We start from the raw sequence: 22,282 nt of genomic DNA on the forward strand, positions 1-22,282 counted from the left end.
TGAAAAAGCTCTTTTAAAACATCTTGTTAGATGGGGCACCATGACTCATGCCTGTAATCGCAACACTTTGGGAGGCCAACGCCGGAGGGCTGCTTGAGCTCAGGAGTTCAAGACCAGCCTGGGCAACAAAGCAAGACCTTGTCTCTGCTAAAAATAAGAAAAATTAGCTGGGCGTGACGGTGCGTGCCTGTGGTCCCAGCTACTTGGAGGCTGAGGGTGGGAGGATCGCTTGAGCCCAGGAGATCGAGGTTGGAGTGAGCTATGATAGCGCCACTGCACTCCACAGTGGGCAACAGAGCAAGATTCTGTCTTAAAAAACAAACAGAAAAAAAACGCCACAAAAACACTTCTTGTTAGGATAGATGTGGTGGCTCCTGCCTATAATCACAGCACTTTGGGAGGCCAAGGTTAGAGGATCGTGTGAAGTCAAGAGTTTGAGACCAGTCTGGACAACACAGCAAAACCCCCAACTATACCAAAAACAAAAAACAACCCCAGAACCAAAACTTCTTGTTATTGGTAAAAGTACTGAATTTTTATATGAACATGAAAGTTAAATGCCTGACTGATATGAAAATGGTCTTGTCAAATGCATGAAAAAGGAGCGGTTGTCTTCAGGTGAGATGAGAGTCATAGTTTTGGAGTCTTTCTGTAACGTGCTCTCATTTTAAGAGTTCCACTCAGCTGCTTCCTGTACAACCCTCCACAGAGAAATTCCATATGAAACCTCTGTGAACCGAGGCTGCCGTGTGAATCTCTCCCATCAGGAGAACTCCACTTCTGTGCAGTTTTCCAGCCTGTGCCTGTGGTCTTGCATTCCTGAGACTTTGTTGTGGATAAGAAGAAAAATTCTGTGGCCTTGAAACTGTGTCTGGATGGTTCCTCCATCTATTAGTTTCTCATTACATTAGTGGCTGCCCCGGGATCCAAGATAAACCATTTTCCCATGCCTGGTGAGAGACTGTAGCACAGACGCTTGATGTTTTATTGCCATGTTATTAGAACCAGCCTCCTAATTTGCACTGGAAAATTTGAGAGGGTAAACATATGGGCATATGTCTTCATGTGTGCCAAACTCACACTGTGGGCGCGCATGCGGTACACACACACGTTCCTTTTGTTACCTCTTTGAACTCTGAATGAGATTTTGTGAGTGTGCACCTGGGGTAGACCCCTTAGTATTAGGTACAAACCCCACAGCAGCCCGCCTGGGTTTTCTCCCTCACCTGAGCATCTGAGCCCAGGGAGAATAAGCAGGTAAGTGCCAGCCCCTTCCTGCCGAGGCGTGCAAACTCGCCTGCAACCCCTACTCCATAGCCACACACGCACTCACAGACTTAAGGGTTTGCAGAGCACATTGAGGCTTCCCTCAAAGCGCATTGAGCATCCGCATGGAGAGATCAAGGATGGGAAGGGTGCTGGGAGCAGTCGCTCATGCCTGTTATCCCAGCACTTTGGGAGGTTGAGGTGGGAAGATCACTTGAGCCCAGGAATTAAAGACCAGCCTGGGCAGCATGACAAAACCCATCTATACAAAAAATACAAAAATTAGTCGGGTGTGGCAGTGCATGCCTGTAGTCCTAGCTACTTGGGAGGTTGAGATGGGAGGATCAGTTGAGCCTGGGGAGGTTGAGGCAGCAGTGAGCCATGGTTACACCACTGCACTCCAGCCTGGATGGGTGACAGAGCAAGAACTGGTCTCAAAAAAAAAAAAAAAAAAAAAAGGGAAAGAGCTGCCTTGAGTAATTCCCAAACGGCATTCTCTCCTTCGTTTTTTTAATGTTTTGTTTTGTTTTTAAATGGAGTTTCGCTCTTGTCACCCAGGCTGGAGTGCAATGGTGTGATCTTGGCTCACTGCAACCTCTGCCTCCCAGGTTCAAGTGATTCTCCTGCCTGAGCCTCCCGGGTAGCTGGGATTACAGACATGCACCACCATGCCCAGCTAATACTGTATTTTTAGTGGAGGCGGGGTTTCTCCAGGTTGGTCAGGCTGGTTTCAAACTCCCAACCTCAGGTGATCCGCCTGCATTGGCCTCCCAAAGTGCTGGGATTACAGGTGTGAGCTGCCGTGCCTGGCCTCTCTCCTTCGTCTTTGCACTTTACTCTCCCTCTTCTCCCTTTGACAAGACATATTTCCATGAAGCCCTATTTCTTATGGCTCCTTTCTTCTTTTGTTGTTGTTGAGACAGGGTCTCGCTCTGTCACCCAAGCTGGAGTGCAGTCGTGAGATCTTGGCTCACTGCAGCCTCAGCTTCCCAAGTGGCTGAGACTACAGACATGAGCCACCATGCCTGGATAATTTTTTATTTTTTTTTAGAGATGGAGTCTTGCTATGTTGCCCAGGCTGGTCTTGAACTCTTGGGCTGAAGTTATCCTCCTGCCTCAGCCTCCCAAAGTATTGGGATTATAGGCATGGGCCACCATGCCCAGCTCTCCTATCTTTCTTTGTCATCACCTTTTCTCCCCGGCAGAGCTCCAGCCTCAGGTATCCCTCTTGTGGATGCTCCTGTTTTTCCATGGGTCCATGTTGTGATTATGCTGAGCCAACCACACTATGTCTCCCTCCTCATAACCCAAGGCACAGGCAAGTCTGTAGGACCATCTGGCAGGAGAGAGCCAAGGCCTGGACAAGCAGCCAGCCGTGGGCCCCATCTTGGCTCACTGCAACCTCCCACCTCCTGAGTACAAGTGATTCTCCTGCCTCAGCTTCCCGAGTAGCTGGGACTATAGGCTCTTGCTACCATGCCTGGCTAATTTTTGTATTTTTAGTAGAGATGGGGTTTCGCCATGTTGGCCAGTCTCGTCTTGAACTCCTGACCTCAGGTGATCCACCGGCCTCGGCCTCCCAAAGTACTGGGATTACAGGCCTGAGCCACAACACTCGGCCCCATCATTACTTTATTCTTACCAGCTGCACTCACTGGTACTAGCAGTTCATGATTTGCCTGAGTCAATAATGATATCACAACATCAGATTCCACTGATCAAAAAAGGACCTCGTCAGTCTAGCACTCAGTGGCAAAAAAAAAATGTTTAAGTTATTATTGCAGAAAATCTGGAGCCTTGCCAGTGAATAAGATTTTTAAAGGATGTGCAAAAAATCTAGCAAAAGAGGCGTGAATGACCAGGGATGGATATGAGAGGAGATTTAGGGCGCAGTAGCCTAAAATGTGCCTCTGCTTGCAGAGATGCAAAAGAGGGTAAATGAGACTTTTAAAGCTGATTTAGACAGAGGAAAAGGGGAATGGGTGGTAATGAGACCCCTGCTGGAGGTATCACACGTGCCTGGGCAGCCGCGGAGGAAGACTCATGAAGGGAGTTGAAGGAGCAAAGCACCAGAACCCTTCCAGCCCTGAGAGTCTGTGAGTCTATGAGGCCCATGGGTGTCCAAGGATGTGAACTGTTATGATAGTTCTAGAAATGGAAAGAACAGCTACTGAATAATTATCAGTAATTATTGCTTTTCACCTAAAATGTGTAATGCAGCTTCCAAAATTACTGACTTGGCTGAGCACAGTGGCTCGCACGTGTAATCCCAGCACTTTAGGAGGCTGAGTTGGGCAGGTCACTTGAGCTTAGGAGTTTGAGACCAGCCTGGGCATCATAGTGGGAACTTGTCTCTACAAAAAATACAAAAATTAGCCAAGCATGGTGGCACGTACCTGTAGTCCCAGCTGCTTGGAAAGCTGAGGCGGGAGGATCTTATAAACCCAAGAGGCAGAGACTACAGTGAGCCGTGATCGTGCCACTGCATTCCAGCCTAGGTGACAGAGCGAGACCCTATCTGAAAAAAAAAAAAAAAGAAAGAAACAACAAAAAAAACACCCAACCAAACAAACAAATTCCTGATTTTATTCCTAGGATATAGGTTATTCTCTGGGAGAATCTGGTTAGTTCAGTGCACTCCATCGTTAGCAGACGATAATATTCTGCACTTAAATCACTCCTTTCATCTGTAGCTCTCAAATAATTTTATAAGCATTAATTAGTTCTCACATCTGGCTTTGAACCTATTTTCCCACTTGTCAAATGCATAATAAACAATTTCGTACCTGGGTAAAGCCAAAATACTGGAGTGGTGTCTCCCAGGTTTCCAGAGACCCATCAGAAGAGTCAAAAACCTTGGTCACTTCTGCAGACATCTCACCTGAGAGGGACCAGATGTCCAACTGCTTGTGGATGAGAGTCTGATACTGATGGCAAATAATTAACACTTCTTCCTACCACTTATTTCTATTCAGATCTTCTGACATTAAAGTATCAAATAGGATATGATATTTGGGAAAAGTTTTCAGACTTCTAATCATGTATGGATTTGAGAATTAAGTATTCCTTTCTGCCTTTATAAAATTAGAGCTCTTCTTATATTATTATTATTATTATTAGATTAAGTCTCACTCTGTCGCCCAGGCTGGAGGGCAGTGGCGTGATCTCGGCTCACTGCACCCTCCGCCTCCCGGGTTCAAGCAATTCTTCTGCCTCAGCCTCCTGAGTGGGTAGGATTACAGGTGCATGCCACCACACCCGGTTAACTTTTTATATTTTTCGTAGAGACGGGGTTTCATCATGTTGGCCAGGCTGGTCTTTAACTCCTGACCTCGTGATCCACCTGCCTCAGCCTCCCAAAATGCTGGGATTACGGGCATGAGCCACCGCACCTGGCCCAAGCTCTTGTATATTCTCTACTACATAAACTCACAGACCAAACCTGAGCCATCTGGAGGGTTCTGGGACAGGACGGGGCACTTTATGGCCTCACCATTTCCCACACTGTGTCCCACTGCCCTAGCCACAGCTACCACTTACCACTGTTAAAATAGTAATGGGGAATTCCTCTGGGGTCCCAGATGAAAGAAAAAGCTTCACATTACACCCTTCCACCCCTACAGTTCTGACTTTGACACTGACATTTTAATAGTTGAAAACTAAACACGACCTTGTACCTTCATTTCCTCTCCACTTGTTCCCTTCTTAACCCCCTGCGGTCCAGCCTCCACACTCTTCCCTCTGCTGAAGCCGTTTATGAAAAGTCTTCAGTGACTTTCTCGTGGAATTCCAAGAGGCGTCTCTCGGGATCATTCCCTCTGAGCTCCTTCATCCTGCTGCCCACCCTGTCCCCTTGAAGGTCTCTCTTCCCTCGACCTCTGGGATGCTGAATTTCCCATTTTTTCTTTCACCTCTCTGACATTTTCCCTTCTGGTTTGGAGGGCCCTCCACAGGGGTCATTGGTCCTGGGGTCTCCGACCTGTCTTGTGGGATCAACTCCCGCCATCCTCATCTCTGACAGGGGTAGGGATATCCCTCCTGATTTCCCAGATGAAATGCCCGAGAGATGGGGTTCATACCACGCTTCCTTCCATTTCCTGCACCCCCGGGCTCACGGAGTTTCTTTTTCCTCTCGTAGCTCTCACCCCTTCACCGGCTAGCATTGTTAGTTCAGGCCCCTACATGCAGAGTATTTTCCCCCAGACTATTCTGTTCATGAACATTAACTAAATATGTTTGCATGTGCTCCCCCAGTTTTTAAAGTTTATTTGAGAGATATTCCACTCTCCCAATTTTTGATTGTTTACATATTATATATATATATATATTTTTTTTTTTTTGAGACGGAATCTAGTTCTATCACCTAGGCTGGAGTGCGGTGGCATGATCTCAGCTCACTGCAACCTCCGCCTCCTGGGTTCAAGCAATTATCCGGCCTCAGCCTCCTGAGTAGCTGGGACTACAAGCACACACCACCACGCCCAGCTAATTTGTTTGTTTGTTTGTTTGTATTTTTAGTAGAGACAGGGTTTCACCATGTTGGCCAGGCTGGTCTCGAACTCCTGACCTCAAGTGATCTGCCCACCTCGGCCCCCAAAAGTGCTGGGATTACAGGCGTGAGCCACCATACCCAGCCTCACATACGCTTTCTCTTAAACTAATGTGTTCATTTATTAGGTTGCTCCAAGAGTAATTGCAGTTTTTACCATTGAAAGTAATGGCAAAAATGGCAATCACTTTTACATCCACCTAATAAATATGTAAAATAGAAACTCAAAAAGTTGAGATTTTTAAAAGTAAAAACAAATCAAAATTCTTTTTTTTTTTTTTTTTTGAGACCGAGCCTCTCTCTGTCACCAAGGCTAGAGTACAGTGGTGCAAACTCAGCTCACTGCAACCTCCGCCTCCGAGGCTCAGGTGATTCTCCTGCCTCAGCCTCCGAGTAGCTGGGGCTACAGGCTCATGCCACCACACCTGGCTAATTTTTGTATTTTTAGTAGAGATAGGGTTTTACCATGTTGGCCAGGCTGGTCTCGAACTCCTGACCTGAAGTGATCTGCCCACCTCGGCCTCCCAAAGTGCTGGGATTAGAGGCATGAGCCACCACACCTGGCCCAAATCAAAATTCTGATATCTTCTTCTCATATCCCAGTGGGTGACCTTAAGCAGAGCTGAGAGGGCCCCCCCATCAGCGAGCCCAGGGACCCAGAGGTCAGCAGCATCCCGAAGGCTTTGTCCACTGCCAGGCTGGCGCTCCTCCTTCCTACAGAGCCCAGCCTCTGTGCTCATCCCTATAAAACACTGGCTTCTTCTCCTCCCTTCTTCTGAGACCTCTGGTCTCCGGGCTTTCCAGTAGAGAACAGGCAGTCCCAGCTGACCTTCAGGGAGCTCCACATCCCATCATGACTTCTGTTCCAGCCTTTGCTCCCTTCAATGCCCCGCCTGTCCTCTCCAGGTCCTGGGCCTCTGCCTGGCTCAGGGTGAGCCTAGGTCACCTCCGTCCCACCTTCCCTGTTCACGCCATCACGTTGCTGTCTCCTTCCTCACAGCTCTGTCCAATCTTTTGGCACCTGGCCACCCGCTGTTACTTGACACTCTCACTCATGCCATCTAATCGCTTCACTGGATTCCGATCTCCAAGAGCACACAGTCCAGGTTTCTTCTGCATAGACTTTGAACCTGTCCTCTGTCCCTGCAGTGCTCCTCAGTCCCCCTCTCAGGACAGCACCATCATCAGAGCGGCCTGAGCCCTCTTGGTGGTTGTGTTTGGACAGAGACAGCTGTGGGGGCCACGGAAGCTCTGACACAGTCTGATGTGCTGATCACACGTATACAGGTGGACTTCACACGTTTGTGGCAGGCAGCTTAACACTGCTAAATTCTTAAACCTACTCAAGCTCAGCTTCTTGCAAATACTATTTCCCAGAAGTTGGTAATATATTCTCCTAAAGATTTAATAGAAGAAAAGTTGGCTGCTTATTGAAAAGTATGCTTTTGACTGCCAACTCGGATTATTTTAAATTAATGTTAATGCATGCAAGATTTACTCGCAAAGCATCCATCTCTTTAGTGCCCGATGGGGCTCAGGGCATGTGTGTAAATCATTCAGATGACAATTTCCTGGATTGAGTGCTTGGCATTTACCTACCACAGATCAATGCGCTTATTCACAGATGGCAGCATGGGGACACTGAGGATGATTGGAGATGTTGGACACTCAGGAGCAGAATGACTCTGAAACAGTCAAGAGGCAGCAAGCCTGGAGCTTCTTCCAAATCTTCTTGAATTCTCCTTTGAAACTCACCAGCAAATGCTGACCTGGGAATTTGAAAACAGCACACTAAAATGGAGATATCAACTCACTTCCTGGACTTTAATCTTTATGGCTCTGTGGCTGGAGTGCAGCCATCCAGTTCTTCAAGGTGCTTCCACGGGACCATATTGTTACTGGGGTGAATAACCTTTGAGACCCCTTAACAGAAACACACTCTCGTTTGTGAAATGAATGGTTGCAGATTGCAAGTGAATTTCTAGGTATACTTCAGGAGGGGATTATCCAAGAAATTGAGTTGTTTAATTTTTTTTCCTTTTTTTTTTTTTTTGAGACAGAGTTTCGTTCTTTTCGCCCAGGCTGGAGTGCAATGGCACCATCTCGGCTCACTGCAACCTCTGCCTCCCAGGTTCAAGTGATTCTCCTACCTCAGCCTCCTGAGTAGCTGGGATTACAGGTGTTAGCCACCATGCCTGGCCAAGTTTTGTATTTTTAGTAGAGACGGGGTTTCACCATGTTTGTCAGGCTGGTCTTGAACTCCTGACCTCAGGTGATCTGCCTGCCTTGGCCTCCCAAAGTGCTGGGATTATAGGCATGAGCCACCGTGCCTGGCCTGAGTTGTTTAATATTTAAACTACATGTTTTTCTTGTGGTAAACTCGTCAGACTTGGTGAATGTTATAATTGTGTTCAGAGTCCAAAAGTCATTCCATAGCATATATTTCAAGTATAATGATGGCTCAATGTCCTGAACCAAGATTATCTTGGTGGCTGAGGCTAATACCTGATACTGTGGGTGGCAGGTCACACTCTCTGCAGGTTCCCATCGGGTCGGGTGATGCTTTTCAGATTAACGGTTAAGTGCAGCTATCTTAGCGAGGGTTCATTATTGAAGTTTCTATTTGTTTCTTTATGCTTTTTAAAATAACTTACCTGCATCTCTTACATTGATTGCAAAGGGCCAAGTTTGAGACAGTGACAGACTTGAGAGAAGACCAAAGCTATCCACAGAAAGCTTTGCTAGCTAAATATTTGTTTGAGATTGTCGATCCTGTTATTCTTACAAGAGGCCCACAGAAAAAGGAAGAAAGAAGGAAAGAAAAGGAAGAAAGGAGGGAGGGCAGGGTAGAAGGAGAGAGGGAGGAAGAAAGAAAGAAGGCCGGGCGCGGTAGCTCACGCCTGTAATCCCAGCACTTTGGGAGGCTGAGGTGGGCGGATCACGAGGTCAGGAGTTCGAGACCAGCCTGGCCAACATGGTGAAACCCCGTCTCTACTAAAAATACAAAACTTAGCCAGGCGTGGTGGCGCACGCCTGTAATTCCAGTTACTCGGAAGGCTGAGGCAGGAGAATTGCTTGAACTTGGGAGGTGGAGGTTGCAGTGAGCCGAGATGAAGCCATTGCACTCCAGCTTGGGCAACACAGCAAGACTCTGACTCAAAACAAACAAACAAACAAACAAAAAAACCACACAAAACGAAAGAAAGAAAGAGAGAGGAAGAACGGAAAGAAAGAAAGAGGAGAAAGGAAGGGAAGAAAAGTCAGTCTCCCAGAAAATCCCATCTGTTTTCTAGCGGCTTCTCTAAGCAAGGCTTAGCTCAGCACAACTTTCCCTTCCAGCCCCCGCCTCCCACTGTGGCCATTGGCAGGGGCTGTTGGGATCACCACAGAGGGCACATGGGGAAGGTGGTGCAAGTGCTGGCCTTCTTGTTTCTCCTAGACTTTTGCTAAGGCCTGTGTGGGGAATACCCCTGTTGGTTGCCAAGCTAAGCATTTTCATAGGCTGAGTCACATAGACAGAGCTTTACTTTGTGAATACAAAACAGGGAAATAAAGGAACAAAACACCAATCCTGAAGGGCAATGACATGATCATTGCTAAGTGCCATTGAATGAACTCAGGATAACTCTCAACCTCACTCTTCTGTGGTTCTGTTTTGCATATGTATAATGTGAACTTCTAATGAGTTGGTTAATATTATTCCCTCCTCCCTGTTTTCTTTAAACCCTGCTTTGAAGCATAATGGTGTAAACCAGTAAGAAGTTTGGAAAGCCTGTGCTTGTCATTGGAGTTTAATTAAAATACACTAAGCCTTGCAGAAACTTGTGGTTTCGAGTAATGGAAAATTGGGAATTCAGAAGTATAGACTGATCCTAGGCAGAAGGGCCAAATTTTCTCTAAAGCATTGGACTTCTTGCCTTCCATTTCTGTGTAGACAATGTAGTTGACTCATTCTTAAACATACAAATGATCACTTTTCCAATAAAGGATTGATCAATGTTATAATGGCAAGAATTTGACATTTACCTCCACAGAAGCATTATCCAAATGTTCACACTATTTCATATTTCTTTGTATTGAATTCATTTATAAACATATTTATCCTAGACCGATTATGCGCAAAGCAAGTGCAGGTGCTAGGGATACAGTTATGGCAAAACTAGACCAACTGCAACCTCCGCCTCCTGGGTTCAAGTGATTCCCCTGCCTCAGCCTCCCAAGTAGCTGGGACTACAGGCACATGCCACCACACCCAGATAATTTTTTGTATTTTTAGTAGAGAGAGAGTTTCACTGTGTTAGCCAGTATGGTCTCGATCTCCTGACCTCGTGATCCGCCCGCCTCAGCCTCCCAAAGTGCTGGGATTACAGGCGTGAGCCACCACCCCCAGCCCTTATTTTATTTATTTATTTATTTAGTTTGAGATAAGTCTCACTCTGTCACCCAGGCTGGAGTGCAGTGGCCCAATCTCCGCTCACTGCAACCTCCGCTGCCCAGGTTCAAGCAATTCACCCGCCTCAGCCTTCTGAGTAGCTGGGATTACAGGCGCGCACCACTACACCCTGCTAATTTTTTATTTTTAGTAGAAATGGGGTTTTGACATGTTGTTCTCCAACTCCTGACCTCAAGTGATCCACCTGCCTCAGCCTCCCAAAGTGCTGGAATTGCAGGCGTGAGCCACCGCGCCCAGCCTCTAGTGTCATGTTAAGAGTATGGCATTTAGCTTGGTCTTGAGAAGTGAACTTGACTTTAACAAAGCATGAAATGGTTAAGAAAAATAAATGATTTGAATACAGCACTTGTCACCTGCATGCCATTATTTATAATCATGTATATGTTATTCTAATAGCGACGATGCAGAAGGATTCTTCAAAGCATGATACACACATGATACTGACACGTGTCAGACTTCATTTCAGCAGCTCCGCCTGTCCGTCAGTGGTGCTCTCCATCCTGTTCCTGGGAGGTGGGTCTGAGTGGAGGAGAGACGCTTTGAGACCCTGTTTCTCAATGTTCAGTTTCGCATCCAAATCACCTGGATGTGTTTGTCAAAATTCAGATTCTTTACCCTTGCTTCAGATCCACAGAATTAGAATCTCAGGAGGTGGGGCCAGAAATATGCATTTTCTGTTTGTTTGAGACAAAGTCTCGCTCTGTCACCCAGACTAGAGTGCAGTGGCGCAATCTAGGCTCACTGCAACCTCTGCCTCCTGGGTTTAAGCGATTTTTATGCCTCAGCATCCTGAGTAGCTGGGATTACACACGCCCGCCACCACACCCAGCCAGAATTATGCATTTTTAACAAGCATTCTGGCTGGGCACGGTGGCTCACACCTGTAATCCCAGCACTTTGGGAGGCCGAGGCAGGCGGATCACTTGAGGTCAGTGGTTCGAGACCAGCCTGGCTAATATGGTGAAACCCCGTCTCTACTAAAAATACAAAAATTAGCTGGGCATGGTGGCGGATGCCTGTAATCCCAGCTACTTGGAAGGCTGAGGCAGAAGAATCGCTTGAACCCAAGAGGCAGAGGTTGCAGTGAGCCGAGATTGTGCCACTGTACTCCAGCCTGGCTGACAGAGTAAGACTCTGTCAAAAAAAAAAAAAAAAAAAAGACATAAGGAAGAGAAACAGCATAGAAAGCCTGTCTCACACCTAGGTGTAGCGAAGGGAGGCCTTCCAATACTAACTAAAGTTCTCGCCATATAAAACAAGCGCAGAGTCTGATGAGCTCTTCTTTGGGGAAAAAATGTCTGCATCATTTTTATGGAGATTCATCTTCAACTCTTAACTAAAAATCCTCTCAAATCATGTGACATGAACAATTGTTTGGCAAAGCAACCTTATGTTAGAGCTCTTTCCTGAATACAAATTTGATCCCAAAGATAAATCCAAATGCTAAAATCCAAGATATAGGTAGAAGCTGACACATCCAGGTAATCCCTTTAAAATATTTAAGCCATATCAATGGGACAAGAAGAAGTTTTGAAAATACAATAACCCTTTCATTAATTTTGTTATTAAAAACCCTCCAGTATGATTAGGGGAAAAATTAGTTTGAAATGTTCTTTTTAAAAATTTTATTTTATTTTTTTATTTTTTTATTATTTATTTTTATTGATCATTCTTGGGTGTTTCTCACAGAGGGGGATTTGGCAGGGTCATAGGACAATAGTGGAGGGAAGGTCAGCAGATAAACAAGTGAACAAAGGTCTCTGGTTTTCCTAGGCAGAGGACCCTGCGGCCTTCCACAGTGTTTGTGTCCCTGGGTACTTGAGATTAGGGAGTGGTGATGACTCTTAGCAAGCATGCTGCCTTCAAGCATCTGTTTAACAAAGCACATCTTGCACCGCCCTTAATCCATTTAACCCTGAGTGGACACAGCACATGTTTCAGAGAGCACCGGGTTGGGGGTAAGGTCATAGATCAACAGGATCCCAAGGCAGAAGAATTTTTCTTAGTACAGAACAAAATGAAAAGTCTCCCATGTCTACTTCTTTCTACACAGACACAGCAGCCATCCGCTTTCTCAATCTTTTCCCCACCTTTCCCCCTTTTCTATTCCACAAAACCGCCATTGTCATCATGGCCCGTTCTCAATGAGCTGTTGGGTACACCTCCCAGACGGGGTGGTGGCCGGGCAGAGGGGCTCCTCACTTCCCAGTAGGGGCGGCCGGGCAGAGGCACCCCTCACCTCCCAGACGGGGCGGCTGGCCGGGCGGGGGGCTGGCCCCCTCCACCTCCCTCCCGGACGGGGCGGCTGGCCTGGCGGGGAGCTGGACCCCCCACCTCCCTCCCGGACGGGGCGGCTGGCCTGGTGGGGGCTGACCCCCACCTCCCTCCCGGACGGGGCGGCTGCCGGGCGGAGGGGCTCCTCACTTCTCAGACGGGGCGGCTGCCAGGTGGAGGGGCTCCTCACTTCTCAGACGGGGCGGCTGCCGGGTGGAGGGGCTCCTCACTTCTCAGACGGGGCGGCTGCCGGGCAGAGGGGCTCCTCACTTCTCAGACGGGGCGGCTGCCGGGCGGAGGGTCTCCTCACTTCTCAGACGGGGTGGCCGGGCAGAGACGCTCCTCACCTCCCCAACGGGGTTGCGGCCGGGCAGAGGCGCTCCTCACATCGCAGACGGGGCGACGGGGCAGAGGCGCTTCCCACATCTCAGACGATGGGCGGCCAGGCAGAGACGCTCCTCACTTCCTAGATGGGATGGTGGCCGGGAAGAGGCGCTCCTCACTTTCCAGACTGGGCAGCCAGGCATAGGGTTTCCTCACATCCCAGACGATGGGCAGCCGGGCAGAGACGCTCCTCACTTCCTAGATGTGATGGTGGCCGGGAAGAGGCGCTCCTCACTTCCTAGATGGGATGGCGGCCGGGCAGAGACGCTCCTCACTTTCCAGACTGGGCAGCCAGGCAGAGGGGCTCCTGAAGTCCCAGACGATGGGCGGCCAGGCAGAGACACTCCTCACTTCCCAGACGGGGTGGCGGCCAGGCAGAGGCTGCACTCTTGGCACTTTGGGAGGCCAAGGCAGGCGGCTGGGAGGTGGAGGTTGTAGCGAGCCAAGATCACGCCACTGCACTCCAGCCTGGGCACCATTGAGCACTGAGTGAACCAGACTCCGTCTGCAATCCCGGCACCTCGGGAGGCCGAGGCTGGCGGATCACTCGCGGTTAGGAGCTGGAGACCAGCTCGGCCAACACAGCGGAACCCCGTCTCCACCAAAAAAATACGAAAACCAGTCAGGCGTGGCGGCGCGCTCCTGCAATCGCAGGCACTGGGCAGGCTGAGGCAGGAGAATCAGGCAGGGAGGTTGCAGTGAGCTGAGATGGCAGCAGTATAGTCCAGCTTCGGCTCGGCATGAGAGGGAGACCGTGGAAAGAGAGGGAGAGGGAGACCGTGGGGAGAGAGAGGGAGAGGGGGAGGGGGAGGGGGAGGGCAAAAATTTTATTTTTTATTTAAAAAAATATTTTGTAGAGACGAAGGCTGGGTGCGGTGGCTCATGCCTGTAATCCCAGCACTTTGGGAGGCCAAGGCAGCCTGATCACTTGAGGTCAGGAGTTCGAAACCAGCCTGGCCAACATGGTGAAACCCTGTCTCTACTAAAAAGAGTACAAAAATTAGCTGGGCATGGTGGTGCGTGCCTGTAAGTCTAGCTACAGGGGAGGCTGAGGCAGGAGAGTCGCTTGAGTCCAGGAGGCGGAGGTTGCAGTGAGCTGAGATCACACCACTGCACTCCAGCCTGGACGACAGAGTGAGACTCCATCTCGGAAAAAAAATTGCAGAAACGAGGTCTCTCTATGTTGCCTAGGCTGGTCTCAAACTCTTGGGCTCAAGTAGTCCTTCTGCCTAGTCTTCCCAAAGTGTTGGCATTACAAGTGTGAGCCACTGAGCACAGCCTGAAATATTCTTTGGGTAAAATTTGCCTTTCAAAAATTTAGGTTTGAGATTTAGCAATCAGATACGGCTTTGTTTTGGCTTTTATGTTTTTAAAATGTTTTCTACGTCATCCTTTCAGGAGGAGGAGCCTAGAAAACACTGTGAATGAACTATTTCAGATAAAATGTAGACTTTAGTAGAGGGAAAACCACATGAGGTCAGGGTGTTTGCACATTTCCACATTCTCAACACTCAGCCCTTTCCCAAAATATACTGCACACTCCTAAGTGTTGAATAAATGAATTAATAAATAAACAAATGGCGGAGTGTGGTGGCTCATGCCTGTAATTCCAGCACTTTGGGAGGCTGAGGCGGGCAGATCACCTGAGGTCAGTAGTTCAAGACCAGCCTGGCCAACATGGTGAAACCCCGTCTCTACCAAAAATAAAAAAATTAGACGGGTATGGTGGTGTGCACCTGTAGTCTCAGTACTTGGGAGGCTGAGGCAAGAGAATCACTTGAACCCAGGAGACGGAGGCTGCAGTGAGCCGAGATCACGCCAGTGCACTCCCCCTGGGTGACAGAGTGAGAAGCCCATCTCAAAATAAATAAATACATAAAAATAAATAAATAAACAAATGCCTTAAAGATGATGGACTCAATCACTATGTAACAGAAGAAAGCAGAACATTATTCAACAGAAGGAAGAAGATAAGAAAAAAATAATTAAAACTAGAGTTTAAAGATATAATTTACCTAAGACATGTTTCTGTTTTACTACTCATTTCTTCTTTCCTTCTGCATCTAAACTGGTGGACAATGTTTGTGTAATATTTGGGAGGGTGGCACAGACAAGAAAGAATAAAAGTACTGGCCAGCATTGCGGGTACCTGCTTAACATGTCTATGTCAACAAAGTTAGGTGGTACGAGTTGCATGATTTTTTTTTGAGATGGAGTTTCGCTCTTGTCGCCCAGGCTGGAGTGCAATGGTGTGATCTCGGCTCACTGCAACCTCCGCCTCCTGGGTTCAAGTGATTCCCCTGCCTCAGCCTCCTGAGTAGCTGGGATTACAGGCACCCGCCACTATGCCCAGCTAATTTTTGTATTTTTAGTATAGGCAGGTTTTCACCATGTTGGCCAGGCTGGGCTCGAACTCCTGACCTCAGGTGATCCACCCGCCTCGGCCTCCCAAAGTGCTGGGATTACAGGCGTGAGCCACTGCGCCCAGCCAAGTTGCATGATTTTTTTTAAGCTGAGAAGCTACTTACAGATCATTGAGTCCAACCCTTCATTTTGCAGATGAGGGAAGCAGAAATTAGAACAGTCCAATGACCTGAGGAAGGTCCTTGGCACAGCCAGCTGAACATTGAACAGGTATATCATATCATTGTTTATTGCCTTTTAGGGGCAGAGACTATGTGTTTCTAAGTAAAATTAATCATAGACCTGCCTGATATCAGCCTCCCAGCCCCAAACATTGGATCGGGTTTGGTTGGTTTTGACCAACTGATGGATTGTCTTTGCACTGATTTTGACAAGAACGCTCTGAAAATAATGTTCTTAAACTTTATTTTGTACAATAATGAAGGGGGGAATGCTGTTTTTTGTTTTTTTAAACAAAGTCTCACTCTGTCACCCAGCCTGGAGTGCAGTGGCGCAATCTCAGCTCACTGCAACCTCCATCTCCCAGGTTCAAGCGATTCTTCTGCCTCAGCCTCCCCAGTAGTTGGGATTACAGGCGTGAGCCACCACACCCAGCTGTTTCTCTTCCTTATGTCTAAAAGGATCCGTCTGGTCTTCTACATGCATTTCTCCATCACTAGAAACTTCCATGTGGTTGTCACTAAGTTAGAACAACACACAACAAAACTGTTTTTTATTTCATTATTTGCATAGAGTACCACCCAAAGAATTTGGAGGGCAAGATTAACAGTGAGCTAAACTACACGTGTGACGCTAGTAGAAGGAGGGAATGTCTCCTGTCCAAAGGGGCAGCTTGAAACATTTTTCACAGACAGTTGGCAGAAATGTGAACTAATAATTACTTCATAAGACAAACTGTTGTGTCTGTGAGGAGGAAATACCAGTGCTAGAACGCGCTGCAGCGTGCAGCCTCTCTGGCTGTGGAGAGACTGTACAAGCAACACAAGAGCCTCCTTATGGTATGTCTTGGCTTTCTTTATTGCACTTATTTCCTGGTTCTGATCTCAGGCCTTTCAGAAAATTTCCTGTGAAATGGAAATCCTGACTGCTTTTTTTTCTGGTGCATTCTTCACATGGTAAATGGCTAATTTCATGTAATTAAGAAAGCTTTTCACAAAGCGACTAACTAGACGGCTGAGAAAGTATAAAAACCTATGTGTGGGAGATATAGTGGTGTTTAGGGCACAGTTGCATTTAATTTTTATAAATGGTTCCAATTTCCACAGAGAAATTCGGGAAGTCCAGGACACAGCATGATACAGTGCAATTTTTTTAATAGGCCATTTTAAGGACTTTATTGATTTTTAATATGCAGTGCAATTTTTGAAAGCCCATACAGGCCAGTTTATTTTAAAATTGAAAAATCACCTCCTTCAAAACCCTCGTGAATTCTCAGTTTTATATATATAGTAAATTACATATAAAGCCTACTTATAATTTTGGAAAATTTGAAAAAGTTGATACTTAAACATTAATGATGTTAACATTTTTTAAAGATGTGCTTGTTATAGGCCTGGGGAATCTAGTAAATGCCTTACGTGTGTTATCTTAGTAACTCTGTTTTGTTTTTTTGGTTTTTTTTGAGACAGGGTCACGCTCTGTCACTCATCTGTCACCCAGCCTGGAGTGCAGTGGTGTGATCACAGCTTACTGCAGCCTTAACCTCCCTGGGCTCCAGTGATCCTCCCACCTCAGCCTCCCAAGTAGCCGTGACTACAGACATGTGCCACCATGCCTGGATAATTATTTTTTTAATTTTTATACATCCGGGCATGGCGGCTCACACCTGTAATCCTAGCACTTTGGGAGGCCAAGGCGGGCGAATCACTTGAGGTCAGGAGTTCGAGACCAGCCTGGCCAACATGGTAAAACCCCATCTCTACCAAAAGTATAAAAAATTAACCGGGTGTGGTGGCACACACCTGTAATCCCAGCTACTTGGGAGGCTGAGGCAGGAGAAGCACTTGAACCTGGTAGGCGGAGGTTGCACTGAGCCGAGATCATGCCACTGCACTCCAGCCTGGGCGACAGAGTGAAACTCCATCTCAAAATAAATAAAAATAAATAAAATAAAATAAATAAATAAATAAATTTTTGTATACAGACTGGGTCCCACTATTGTGCCCAGGCTGGTCTTGAACTCCTGGGCTAAAGCAATCCACCCACCTTGGCCTCCCAAATGCTGGGATTACAGCATGAGCCTCTGTGCCAGACCAATACCTCTTTGCAACAACCCCATGAGGTACCTACTATCCCCTTTACACATGAGGAAGCTGTGGCCACCAGAATGCTAATAGTTGTCCAAAGTCAAACAGCTAGAGAGTAATGGAAGCAGGATTCCCACCCTTTCATAGTGATTCCAGAGCTCATAATCTCACTGAGCTTGTGCTGTGTGGCCTCACTATAAATTATAAAAACAGCCACCTTAATTAATGATGGACTATGCACCTGAGGACAGGTTTCACATAATAGGGTCCATGTATTTATTTTGATTAGCACTTATATGGAACCTTATCCAAACACTCTGGAGTTTCCTTAGCAGGACATGTGCAGAGAAGCTAAAGGAAGGCTGTTTGCTTGTCCTGTTATTCCCTGGAATTCTCTGCTCCTCATGTTGTTCCCTAGCATCTAATTTCCTTGTGACTGCCTTCCCACAATCATTGAATCAACAGCCATATTTATCCCTTTCATTTAAATAACGCCTGTACATTTTTGGAGTAATCAGAAAACAAAGCTGCATGAAGTAAGAGAACATAAAGAAGGTATTATTGTTATTATTTTGAGACAGAGTTTCGCTCTTGTTGCCCAAGCTGGAGTGCAGTGGTACAATCTCGGCTCACTGCAACCTCCGCCTCCCAGGTTCATGCCATTCTCCTACCTCAGCCTCCTGAGCAACTGGGATTACAGGCATGTGCCACCACGCCCGGCTAATGTTTGTATTTTTAGTAGAGACAGGGTTTCACCATGTTGGTCAGGCTAGTCTTGAACTCCTAACCTCAGGTGATCTGCCCACCTCAGCCTCCCAGAGGCTGGGATTACAGGCACGAGGCACCTTGCCTGGCTAAATAAGGTATTATGATGGAAATTGCATTGCAGAGTTAAGCTTTCAAATTCAACATAATTTTCTGTTTTCCTTTTGATGGAGACCCTGATGCAAGGTGATATTTAACAAAGTATCCGTAAGTCCTTCCTAATGGCTGTAGCTGTCTGAGAGCCACCCGGCTGACGGAAAAGGGACTAGATGACTCCAAACCCCTAGGCTGGGCTTGTTTGCTTTCCTCTTGGATGATAGGATGCTAAGTATCAGGTTTAGCCACTCCTCAGCCTGGTCTCCGAAATGTCTGGGGTGGGATGTGCCTCATAGGGATCATGCTTTAGACTGGAACTTTCTCTAAGGCAGGAACTGTGTCTTTGTATATTCAGGGACATGCACTATGCCCAGCACAGAGTACACACTTAGGAGTCGATGCATGAAGGAATTAAGGAATGTGTGCTGTCGAAGCACGTGGCAGATACCATGATTCTCAATCTCACACTATTTTCCTGAAAATGTTGCAGTAGAAGAATGTTTCAGCTCATAGGTTTGGAACTCATGAGCCAAACTTTGAAACAGAGCCTCAATAAAAGAATATGAAACTTAGGAGGTTTCCAAGAAAGATTTCTCTGCACAAATAAATTGAAAACATTGCTTGAACAGTAGTCTTTCTTGTGTTCCCCCAAGTACCAAATTCCTGGTACTTTAAGTGGACTCTAGTCTGTAGAATTTCCAACCCCAAGAGCCACGCGGAGGTGTGAGCCAAACTAAGTAAACCATAGTAGCTGCACATAAATATGTCTGAGATAAATATCAAAATATACTGGGACAATGTGTAGCAACTTCAACAAATGGTGTATGACAGTTGGTAATAACGTTGAAGCCATTTTTTTTGTTTAAGAAGAAAATTACGGTTTTACTGTGAGTAATAACATACCTCATAATCATTTGTCAAAGTGGTCCCTGTCATTTTGCTTTTCCTTCAAACATGGCAAGTGGGTAAGTGGTGTGATGGATCTTTGCATGATGGGTATTGTCTATGCTGCAATGAAAATTTATTTGTGGGTTTGTTTTTTTTTTGGCAATGAAAATTTATAAAGGCAGGGTGCAGTGGCACACACTTACAGTCCCAGCTACTCAGGAGGTTGAGGCAGGTGGATCGCTTGAGCGAGGAGTTTGAGACCAGCCTGGGCACCACAGCAAAACCTCATCTCTAAAATGAAAGAAACCATCATTGTAATCCCAGCACTTTGGGAGGCCAAGGGAGGCAGATCACCTGAGGTCAGGAGTTCAAGACCAGCCTGGCCAACATGGTGAAACCCTGTCTCTACTAAAACTACAAAAATAAGCCAGGCGTGGTGGCGCGTGCCTGTAATCCCAGCTACTCAGGAGGCTGAGGCAGGAGAATTGCTTGAACTCGGGAGGCAGAGGTTGCAGTGAGCCAAGATCATGCCACTGCACTCCAGCCTGGGCAGCAGAGCCAGACTCCATCTAAAAGAGAAGAGAAGGGGAGGGGAGGGGAGGGGAGGGAAGGGAAACCCATCATGGTCCATGAGGCATTTAATGATCACGCCATGAGGGCAGCATCAGGAGGGGACTTCCTAGGGCCAGCTCCAACTTTTGGACTATGTTCCATTGACATCTACATCCAAGATCTTTCCTCTTGAAGGAGGAATTCTGAAAGTGTTTGCTCTCAGCCCAGCTCTAACGTGTCATTATAGAGGAGGTCTCCAATTTGAAATTTCTGAGTGACTTTCATAACATTGTAATGTAGAGATGAACTTTTTACCTGATTACTATTGGCAGAATCTCCTGCTGCCAGTGGGGATCACGCCACTCTGCCTGTTCTCTTCCACGGAGCTTAGCACAGACTCTTTGGTAAAATAATCATTTGCATACACAACTCATCATCTAAGACCGTGTTTGATATTTGCTCATTCTTTATGTGTGTGTTTCCTGGAGCCCTCACTTTAGAGGTCAGAAGACTTGGACCTGAATCCTGGCTTTACTACTTCTGGTAGCCATGAAAACTTTGACAAGTTATTTTATCTCCCTTAGCATTAGTTGCAAAATAAGAATAACAGTTTCTACCTCCTTGGGTTGATTTGAGGATCAAGTGAGATAGCGTGTGTCAAATCCTGAGCATGAGGCCTGGCCCACCGTGACAGCGGATAAATAAAGTCTAACATTATCAGGAATGATGCTCTTGAGTGGGACAGAGATTTGATCCTACGTTTTTCCTCGTAGGGAGAAATTCTGCAATGCTGCCTTGTCGCTGTTCCATGTTGTGGAGCCAGTGTGACTTGCTGATAGCTTTGTGTAAAGAACCATTGAGTAATTTGAGCATGACAAATTCTTACATTAAAAAGATTAAACCATAATTTCAGGCTGCTCCTTTCATTCCTTCCCCACCCTCAGCCCCTCAGGAAGCCAGGAAGGAAAAATGTGTCACCCATCCAACAGCAAATATTTATGAGCTATTACTTTGCTCAAGATTACTATGCCAAGGATGCAGCATTTAAAGAGAAGTGTTGGCTGGGCACGGTGGCTCACGCCTGTAATCCCAGCACTTGACACTTGGGGGTGCTGAGGCGGGCAGATCACCTGCGGTCAGGAGTTCGAGACCATCCTGGCCAACATAGTGAAACCCGTCTCTACTAAAAACACAAAAGTTAGCCAGGCATGGTGGTGCGCCTGTAGCCTTGGTTACTTGGGAGGCTGAGGCACAAGAATCGCTTGAACCCTGGAGGTGAAGGTTGCAGTGAGCCAAGATCACGCCACTGCACTCTAGCCTGGGCGACAATAATAATAATAATAATAATAATAATAATAATAATAATAATAATAAAATAAAAATAAAATAAAAAGAAATGTTAAAAAAAAAAGCCAAGCATGATCCCTGCCTATAAGGACTCTGCCTGGTTGTTAAGATGGGTCGTGGTGAATAAAAGGGAGCTGACAGCACCAGGAGGTTTCTAAGTGGCAACTGAGTGGTACAGAGGAAAATGGTATTAAGAGAAGGGAGAGATCAAGGTGGCTGGAGGGGTCAGGGTCTGGGAGTGATGACCCTTGGCCTTGAGCACGACCCTGAAGACAAATTGGCCCGCTTTGTGTTTTGTGTGGACACTGAATTCTAATGTGTGTGTGTGTGTGTGTGTGTGTGTGTGTGTGTGTGTTGAGTAATTCCTTTGTTGATTGACTACAGTAGGAATTATAGAAGATTCATATCTAAGTAAAAGGAGAAACACCTGGAGGGAGGTTAACTCAGGAAGGTGCGGTGATTTACAAATTGTATCTCAGAGACCTTCAATCTAAAGGTGATCCGGAGGCAACTATTATCTGATCTCATTATTAGACCTAAAAAGCAATTTCCTTCTTCTGATTTTTATATCCTGTTTTATACAAAGAACAGGTGCAGTAAAATCATAGTTGTAGCTTTCCGTGTCAAGAGTCTGTGTTAAGCTGAGCATAGTGGCTCACACCTGTAATCCCAGCACTTTGAGAGGCCGAGGTGGGAGGATCACTTGAGCCCAGGAGTTCAAGACCAGCCTGGTCAACACAGTAAGACCCTGTCTCTGCAAAAATAAAAACATACAAAAATTAGCCAGGCATGTTGGTGTGTGCCTGTAGTCCCAGCTACTTAGGAGGCAGGAGGATTGCTTGAGCCCAGGAGGTTGAGACTCCAGTGAGCCATGATAGCATCATTGTCTCAAAAAAAAGATCTGTATGATAGGTGTTTGTTTTAATATTTTTATTACACTTACAAATACAGAAAAGTGCCCTGGTCAGATACAGCTCTGTGGATTGACACAGACGGATACACCTACATGACCACTTTCCAGTTCAAGAAAAAGAGCAT

At 46.6% G+C, this 22,282-nt stretch overlaps 1 annotated feature.

Annotated features, from left to right (window-relative positions):
• Positions 12,539-13,185: an enhancer, noted in NCBI's record as "H3K27ac-H3K4me1 hESC enhancer chr6:155287362-155288008 (GRCh37/hg19 assembly coordinates)". NCBI's record gives its function as "activates a minimal SCP1, AML or CMV promoter by ChIP-STARR-seq in naive H9 embryonic stem cells {active_cell/tissue: H9 hESC(naive)}" and the evidence as "EXISTENCE:reporter gene assay evidence [ECO:0000049][PMID:30033119]".

The sequence above is a fragment of the Homo sapiens genome, chromosome 6, assembly GCF_000001405.40.
Source record: "Homo sapiens chromosome 6, GRCh38.p14 Primary Assembly".
Lineage (NCBI taxonomy): Eukaryota > Metazoa > Chordata > Mammalia > Primates > Hominidae > Homo > Homo sapiens.